Raw genomic sequence first — 9,482 nt, 5'->3', positions numbered from 1 at the left:
GCTACTAGGGAGGCTGAGGCAGGAGAATCATTTGAACCCGGGAGGCAGAGGTCGCAGTGAGCCAAGATCACACCATTGCACTACAGCCTGGGCAACAAGAACGAAACTCTGTCTCAAAAAAAAAAAAAGAAAGAAAGAAAGAAAGAAAGAAAGAAAGAAAGAAAGAAAAATGAATCTCCATCCTATCCTACCCTCTAGTATCTGTATTTTGTATCCTGTATTCTTCCAGAAATGTCCCATGCACACAAGTACTATGTTATTAAGTGTTCATGCAGATCTACACATTTATGATCTTATTTATTTATCTTGCTGACATGGAGTGTCATTCCGTCGCCCAGGCTGGAGTGTAGTGGCGTGTTCTTAGCTCACCACAACCTCCACCTCCCAGGTTCAAGTGAGACTCCTGCCTCAGCCTCTGAAGTAGCTGGAATTACAGGTGCCTGCCACCATGCCTGGCTAATTTTTTTGTATTTTTGTAAAGACGGGGCTTCCCCATATTGGCCAATCTGGTCTTGAGCTGCTGACGTCAGGTGATCCGCCTGCCTTGGCCTCTCAAAGTGCTGGGATTACAGGTGTGAGGCATTGTGCCTGACCTGATTTTATTTATTTATTTATTTATTTATTATTTGAGACGGAGTTTCACTCTTGTTGCCCAGGCTAGAGTGCAATGGCATGATCTCAGCTCACTGCAACCTCCGCCTCCCAGGTTCAAGTGATGCTTCTGCCTCAGCCTCCCGAGTAGCTGGGATTACAGGCAGCCGCCACCACGCCCGGCTAATTTTTTGTATTTTTAGTAGATACGGGGTTTCACCATGTTGGCCAGGCTGGTCTCGAACTCCCGACCTCAGGTGATCCACCTGCCTCGGCCTATCCCAAAGTGCTGGGATTACAGGCATGAGCCACCATACCCAGCCACCTGATCTTATTTTTTAGCATAGAAGCAACCTGCACACCTTTCATTCTATCTTTCTTGTCATTATCCATTTAATTCCAACTTTCAAAGAAGAGACTACATTCAAAATGCCTTGTATAGTACCTGGCAAAATAGGTATGTTCAGCAAATGAGTCCTCCCTTGTGCCCTTGGGTATTAGGCAATTTCATTACGAATGTAATAGTATATGGTGGGATTCCCAGATAAAGATTATAATTGTGCTATGTTTTTAAATGTGTTTGGTGTTTTACCTGCACTACCTAAACAGGTGTCAAAAAGTTACCTTCTATCTGTCAATGCCTTCCTTCTGTACCCAACACCCACACACACACCCCTCCCCACAACGTGTGCATGCTTTGTAACCATGAAGGATGTTGTAATGTGCACAGGTGGACTGCAGCAGCAGGCCTGGTCTGCACAGAGGGGTGGTGGCCAGGGAGGCTTGCCAGGGCTTCCTCCCACTCATCAACATCCCATTTGTGCCTTTGAGCAGCGTTCTGAGCTGTGAATTTACTCTGCAGTTCCATGGTAGTTAAAGTCAGGTTGCTGTGGGCTCCGTCCCCAAGGAGGAGCCTCGGCAGCCAGCCCTGGAGGAAGCTGCTGATCTGCTGAGAGTTGGAGCCCTCCTGTCCAAAGGCCACCCGCCACACAGGGCACAGATGGGTTTCAGGTTGTCTTGGGAAGCCCCTCATCTCTCCAGATCCCAGTTCAATAATCAGAGTGAGAGGGCAGGATTTCCCCTGGTCAGAGGATCACTTTGAAAGCTGGCACCGAGGTTGTGATGAGAGTGAATCCTAACAGCTGCACCCTTGGCTAGCACTTCCTGCCTTCTCAGAATACCTTCTCCTTCAGGGCCTCCTGGGAGAAGCTGTGAATCTCAGTGGCCTGGGGCCAGCCAACCTGCTTTCTCTAACATTGAGGGCTATGCTCTTCAGGGGGTACTTAACTCAGGGAACCTCAGTACCTCACTCCATAACATGGCGGGTAATCGTTCAGACTGACTGAGTACCTGCGATGTGCCGGACGTTGTTCTAAATTTTCCATGGATTATCTCGTTTCACCTTCCCACATACTATGATATCAGCACTATGCTCTTCCTCATCAAATGGACCTAATAAGAAAACCTATCTCACAGGGAGTTCTGGGGATTAAATTCATTGCAGAAGTTAAGCATTTAACCAGTACCTTAAATTACCTAGATTATCATTCCATTTGAAGGAGGAGGAGATAAAGGTGCCCCAGGTGATGCACTCAGTAAACAGTAACAGGGTTAGGATTTGAACCTGGCCCTTGGATTTGAGTTCACGCTCCTAACCACTACACTCACCTTTCCTGCCTTGACCAGGAAATGCAGCCATCTTTAGGGACAGGCCAAAAGGGTTGAGCTCCCTTTTAGAACGATGAATGGGACAAGAAGGCCACAAAGAAATATGGTTTGGCAGGAGGCAGGCAGGGCCAGGCCTTGGAGGAGAGGTGAGGCTTTGAGGCCCACAAACGCAGGAGTGTACTCATCTCTGTAAATATCAGCTGTGGGGTTCCCTGCTTGGCCTCAGTGACTGGGGTGTGGCATCCCAAAGCTGCTGCTATCATATGATCAGAGCAGGTCCCTGGCTCCATGGGCTCTAAAAGGACACTTTTGGATTTACAAACAGTCGGCCAAGATTACCCTTCACGAGAAAGATTCCACCCTGATTGGGAAACCCCATCTATCTTTGCCTGCCCAGGCACCTGACCTAGTGAGTGTGTGGATGAGAAGCCCTAAGCAGGGCTCTGCAAGGGAGCAGCAACAGTGGATTGCGGGAAGTAGGGATCATCAAAGGCTCCAGGGACAGCTGAAATAGAGAGGGCTGAAAAGAACCATTCTGAGGCAGCCTCAAAAATGCCCAGAATGAACAGGGCCAAACAGCAGCAATGAAGGATCCTTCTCACACAGGCGTCTCAAATTCTACCCCTGAGAGGGACGTGGTGTTCTCAGCAGATGAGTGAAGGCTTCCCAGCCTAGCAGGGTGGCTTCCGGGGAAGTTACAGGGCTGCAGCCCGAGGTGGTCAGGCAAGGGCCTAGAGTTTGTCCTGCTAAACCCACATGACCCAAAACTTGCTGACCACACATGGGTCTGGGGAAACACTGAGTCTAATGAGGCCACCAGCAAGTCCAGGCAGCACAGTCGGGTGGGGTAAATTCTCAGGGACATTTGGGTATGGCTTACAGCAGCAGGTGCCCCTGTAACAAAGCCACCACTGTGTCCAGAAAGGAAAAATCTATTGAGGAATCTCATGCACTGATTCTTTATGGGAAGCGATACAGATTGCCTCTGTTGCCAGGAGAAAACATTCCCACAGCAGTGTGAAAAAAGAAAAGTTAATTCAGGCCAGGGTGGGAACAGCAGAGACGGGGATGCACAAGAATGAGGGGAGACAGGACAGACTGAGTCCAGGATGATAATACTTGCCCTGTCGGCCTCATGGGGTTTGAGGGAGTCTGTAACGCATCCCACAGACACAAGCGAGAAAGTGGATGGGAGACTCTCCACGGCCAAGTTGAGGCATGAGTCAGCTCCGTGTTCCCTGGAGCAGCTATAATTGGCCCTGTCGAAAGCACCCTCAGCCATGTGATGAAGGGATTCCAGCACGAAGGAGAATCTGGTGGCCAGACAGTCCAGCCTCCTTGCGACAGGCCAGCCCGCCCAGGGCACTACCCGGCACCGTCCCCAGAGCTCAGCGACGTGCCCCTTCTCCAGCCCTCCCCTTCGTGCTGGAGAAGGGCCTTCCCGCACCTTCCTGAGAGCCTGCCTCTAAGTCTCCTGTTAGAGTCAGCTCGAGAGAGGAGAGGAAATGATAAAGCCCCATGCGCGGTGCCTGGAGCACAGCTGGTGCTAAACTGGTTCTGCCTCCCCCTCCCCACCCCGAATCCGGTCAGTAATGCTGTGAGGCGGTTATTACTATTCGCATCTTATGGATAAGGAAACTGCGGGTCAGAAAGGGGAGGTGGCCTGACCTCTGTCAGACCTTCCTAACCAGGTCCCTGGGCAGGAAGTGGTGGAGCTGGATTCTGCTGACTTGGACTGTGTTCCATGGCCTTCGTCCCACTGTCAATGGGAATGGGAGGGAGACCTTTCCCCAAAGGTCTTTCTCCTCCCAGTAAATGTTTTGCCTGATGACTGCCAGGCACCTGACTTTCAAGGCAGCCCCTAAGCCAGGCCGAGGCACGCGGACACAGTTCCTCTGGCCTAAGGCCTTCTGCTTCCTTGTGTAACACTTAGGCCTTGTAAGAAGCAGGTGGATTTTCACCCAGGCCCCTTTAGAGACCCAGCAGATCAGAACCCTATCAGACAAAGGACATCCCCTGGCCTTGGTGGGTGGACAGGGCTGAAGGTGGTGCAGGGGCTATGCCTGCCAGGATGGACTTTGCAGTGAGTGGGTCTACTGGGGTGGTGGCCCTCTCACTCTATCCCTTTGGCTTTCTGGAGAACCATCTTTCCCGGCGCAGTGGCGCTGTAATGCCTGGGGTGGGGATGTCAGGGTGGTGATGAGAGCTGGTGCGGCCACAGCAAATGCGAAGGCACCTTTGGGGTGGGAGGTTGCAGAGTCTCCTGAAGTGGGAGAAGCTGAAAGGGCCAGCTCAGTAGCCCTCACGATGGACTCCCATCCCAGCAGCCCTACCAAGTGCTCATGCCTCAAGAGTCCAAGTCACACGATAGAAGGTCCGTGCAACCCTCCAGACCAGCCCAGCCTCCCCAAGGAGCCCGGGGCAGCTTAGCTCTGCAGCCCCAGGCCCCACAGCCAATCCACTAGAGCCTCTCTCTCAGCTCTGCCAAGGTCCAGGGAGGCCTCCCTCATGGCCCATGGAAGTACTCAGGCCTTCCTCAGCCCCTGGAGCAGCCAGCTACTCACCTCCACTACCTGCAGAATAAGGGGCCACAGAAGTAGGCAGCGAGAAGGAGTGACCAGGGGCCAGATGGTCCAAGGAAGGAGGGATTCAAGGCTGCATGCCGGGCAGAGAAATAGCAAAGGGAGAAGAATAGCAGAGGCAGGAGGAAAGGCTGCCAGGGCCAGAGGGACACAGAGCTACTGTACTCCAAAGAGGCAGCCTGTGTTGGAGAGGGCAGCCGCCAAGCCAATTTACTGTTCATTTTATTACTCTGTGTTGCCGGGCCTTAGGCCGGGGAAGTTATTTCAGGCAGAGATCACAGCACATTAACTAGTTATTAAAAGAATGTCCTTTTCTGTGTGTTCTTCCTCAGACAAGAAATAGACGCTGTGGCAAGCACATATTACTGAAAGTGGATGGACCCTCAGGGGCAAAACGCCAAGAACTGGGGGAATAAAGAGGCAAATCTTTGTTTCTGAGGAAAAGGCCCCTCACAGGTTCAGGCCTGGCATGGAGACAAGAATCAAGGCAAGAAGCAGGGATGGGAGAAGGGAGAGGAGGAGGCCTTCTGAGACCTAGGCATGGACGCACTTATCCACCCCAGAGCAGCCTTACTCGCAATGGGGAAGGGATGCAGTGTCAACTCACCCTCTCGGAAAACAACTGCAAAATATGACTCTTAGTACAAAAATTTTAAAGTTAAAAAATATTTTAAACAAAACCCTGCCCAACCTTTGGCCTAGCAATTCCACTTCTGGGAATCTCAAAAAAACAAAAACAAAAACAAACAAAAAAAACACACACACACAATATAGGAAAAAATATTATACACAGAGATATTCAGAATTATTCTACAATAACAAAAAATTAGAAATAGCCTAAAACATCCAAGAGAAGTAGATTAAGTGAAGAATCGTATATACACACAATGGAATAGTATGCAGCTGTTAAAAACAATGCTATTCATTAGTTGAATGAATAATTGTATATACAAATAGTGAAATAGTATGCAGTTGTTAAAAATAATGCTGACAAATAACGCTTATAACATAGGAAATGTTCATGCTATAAGTAAGAAAAACTGGCCAGACGCAGTGGTTCACGTCTGTAATCCCCAGCACTTTGGGAGGCTGAGGTGGGTGGATCCCCTGAGGTCAGGAGTTCAAGACCAGTCTGCCTAACATGGCAAAACCCCATCTCTACTTAAAATACAAAAATTGGCCAGGCGTGTTGGCGGGTGCCCGTAACCCCAGCTACTTGGGAGGCTGAGGCAGGAGAACTGCTTGAACACAGGAGGCGGAGGTTGCACTGAGCCGAGATTGTGCCATTGTACTCCAGCCTGGGTGACACAGTGAGACTCCATCTCAAAAACAAAAACAAAAATAAACAAGCCAGCATACAAAATTATATGTATAGCATGATCTCAACTGTGCTATAAAATAGCTACAAATACTGGAAATATATTTATATATAAATTATATGCTTTATATATAAATATATTTTATATGTAAATTAAAATAGCTTCTCCTAAGTCATGGGATTATGGGTGACTTTTTTTCTTCTTTAAATTTATTCTTTTCTATATTTTCCAATTAAAAACAACTGTTTACTGGATTTTATGAGAAAGAAGAAAAGTACATGATTTGGTTCTGGAGGGTTCCCTGTGGTATGACCCCTCCTACAGCGCTGGCTGACACTCCCTCAAGGGGAGACAGCTTTTGACGCATGAGCTAAATTCAGTTGCTGACATGAGTGGGGAGAGGGAACTACTGCACATGGAGGATAAGAAAGAAGAGCGATCTGCCTCTCCCGGTCTTACTGTCTCCCTCAGATGAGGAATCATCTGTGGCAATTTGACTCTGCCACTTTCTTAGACCCAGTTAACAGCCAGTGATGACTTAGGCAAAGCCGGGAGAGTGTCTCAGACAAAAGGCGCTCAAACCTGTCTGCTGCTTGGGGATCCTCACCTCTCCCCATCTTCCCTCCCATTCTGCAAAATGTCTACTGGGAACCTCCTATAGCCGAGACCCTGGGCAAGGCCCCAGAGATGCTAAGGCATGGATGTTGTCTTGTCAATGATTGTACACCAGGAAGGAGAAGCTACAGATAATGTATGAAAGGTTATAAATACCATATGTGTAGAGAGCCAGGGAAGGCTGAGAGGGCAAGGGCCATCTGCAAATGGCCTGAACTTCCCCTGAGGCATGAATGGGCCAAGTGGAGGCCAGGGCTCACAAAGGAAACTCTGCAGGCAACCCAGGCAGCTCTGAAGTGCCTTTGGCAGCAATGGGTGCTTAATAAAACAAGAAGCATGGCTTAGATCAGGGGTTCCCACCCTAAAGTCCAAAGAAGGCCCTTGGACCCCCAACATTATATGCAAATTTGGGATGTACGTACATTTTTCTAAAGATAGAAAGTTAAGAAGCAATGGATTAGTTTAATCTCTAAGGCCTCTTGCAGTTCTATCAATATAAAACATACAAGAGCCAACAGGCCCATCACCTCCCAAACTCCTTCAGAAATCACTTGGCCTCTTAAAGCTGCTGAGCCCTAGGCTGTGCACTCCACAAGGACAAACTCAATGTGGTGTTGTGTTTAGACATGACCTATTAGCATGGTGCTACTTCCAGAAGGCTGGCGTTACAAGGTGGATGTTAGAGAAAATTAGTACCTAGAAAATTAGTAACTAGACTGTTAACTTTTCTGCACTCCTCACCAAACAAAGCACAGCATTTCACATGCTGTGGATGCTCAAACAGCCAAGGAATAGGAATAAGGGTACCCCTGCTTTCCAAACCCTCTGCAGGAGATGAGCACACTTGACTTTGGGGGGCCACCAAACTCCATTCTCAAGCTGTGGGAGCCTGAGTCTTAAGACAGAGGGCCACAGCATTCTCAACAATTTGGAATGGCTATAAAAGGGGCCAAGAAAATGGCTGGCCTTGAAGTTGGGAAGATTGAGGACTGGAGTGAAGCCTGTTCTCTAAAGATAAGAAGGGCCTCTGGTGGACTTCTCTGAATGCAGGGTGAACAAATTGACTTCTTGAGCCTCCCTCCAGCCCAAGGATTCTGTAATTGAAGGGAATGGATGACTCATTCTCAGAGTTACAGGCGTTTAGCCAAGCATCTCCTCACATGCATCTAGGACTTAACATCCCAGGTCTGCTGCCCACTCTTTAGATGGCTCTGCACAATTCATTTAACTTCTCTGCGCCTCGGTTATCTCACCTGCAAACTCAGCAACTGGATGAGACAATGCCAATATCCCTTCCATCTCTAAGCGTCTTTAATATTATTATTAAGCCATTAAGATCAAATAAGAGAAAGGGGAAAAAAAAAGCATTCTGCTTCTGGACTCAGCTTCTGTTGAGTCTCCAAGATATATACACAGGAGCTCTGCTTTAGAGAAGGAAATGATAAAAGGAGGACAAGTAGCATCCCCAGGCCACCTCCGTTCCCAGGCCCGCACCCATCAGAACTCAGCTGCAACTGTGAGGCCCCCATGTGAGTGCCAAGCCCCTTGAAAAACAAGGGAAGAGGTTTTGCCCGTGAATGATGTGTTGCTAAAAAGTGAAGACGTAAGACATCCCCACCAACATAAGGCGCTCCAGAGACCAGGAGCTCTTCCATTGTGCCTCCTGGGCCTCGGTTTCATCATCCATAAGATGGGGAGACTGGGAATGGCTTTACACTTGAATACTTCAGGTTGACCACCACAGCCAAGGGCCAAGTAGAGTGGACAGGTATTGGGTAGGATGGGAAGGGGGACCAGCAAAAATTGTGGGGTAAGATTTTGACGCCTGCACAAACACAGATCTCTTCAGAGCCCTCAACTGAAGGCTTCCCATTGGTCCCCTGTCTGGGATGGAGCACCAGGAGTGACCGGAGGGACTAGGCGCTGGGCTCCGGGGTGGGCTGCCAGGACCCTGGGCCGGCTCACCTGATGAAGGTGGTCTTCCCAGTGGAGTACTGGCCCACCAGCAGAACCATGGGCTTGTTGTCGAAGTCGGCATCCTCCAGGGCGGGCGAGTGGAACTCGTGGAAGCGGTAATGCTCTTCCAAGGGCAGCAGCTTGCTCTTGTAGAGTTTCTTGAGCCCCTCACTCACCGTCTGGAAAACCTCGGGGTCCTTCCTCCGGCGGTCGTCCGTACCCAGCCAGCTGAACATCGCGGCCGCCGCTCGCCCCCGGCACGCAGCCCCAGGGGAAGACTCCTCCTCAGGGGAAGATGTCCCGTAGGACCGGTCCGCCGGGCTCCGAGCCGCGCCGCCGCCTCACCCAAGCGCGGGGCTCAGCCGCACCATGGCCCGGGCACGCGGCTAGGAGGGCCGGGAGCGCACTCTCCCTGCTCCTGGGACCAAGCCCAGCCGCTGCTGCATCCAGCAGCCCAGGCCGGAGGGAGGATAAATAATCTGGGCTTGAGGAGGAGGGGTGAAATCTTGGCAATTAAAGTTGAACCTGCAAGGAAACTGCCAGATGCCGGGGTCCCAAGCCGGGGTCCCCGATCGGCCCCCAGCCCTCGCCTGCTCTGCCCTGCGTGCAGCAAGGGATGCTTCGGCTCCGCTCCTGCCGGACCGAGGCGGCTCAGGGGAGACGGCGACGCTGCCCAGCCCGCGGACAGCTCTGCATCCGCAGCAGCATCCTGCAGCCCCAGGCGGTGGTTTAAATGCCAGCTGGGCAGGAA

General features: G+C 50.5%; 1 protein-coding gene across 1 annotated transcript in view; it reads right to left on the bottom strand.

Annotated features, from left to right (window-relative positions):
* The window catches only part of EHD3 (EH domain containing 3), a 35,300-nt gene extending 25,863 nt beyond the window's left edge, over window positions 1-9,437 (bottom strand). Inside the window, exon 1 of the mRNA NM_014600.3 lies at window positions 8,741-9,437. Within this exon, the coding sequence (NP_055415.1) occupies window positions 8,741-8,967 (227 nt within the window). The 5' untranslated portion in view covers window positions 8,968-9,437. The remainder of the gene's footprint in view (window positions 1-8,740) is intronic.
* Window positions 9,438-9,482: the final 45 nt, after the last annotated feature.

This window comes from Homo sapiens, chromosome 2 (assembly GCF_000001405.40).
Source record: "Homo sapiens chromosome 2, GRCh38.p14 Primary Assembly".
In the NCBI taxonomy this organism is placed as follows: Eukaryota; Metazoa; Chordata; class Mammalia; order Primates; family Hominidae; genus Homo; species Homo sapiens.
The sequence above is the reverse complement of the archived record's forward strand: the minus strand, read 5'-3'. Positions and strand labels throughout refer to the sequence as shown.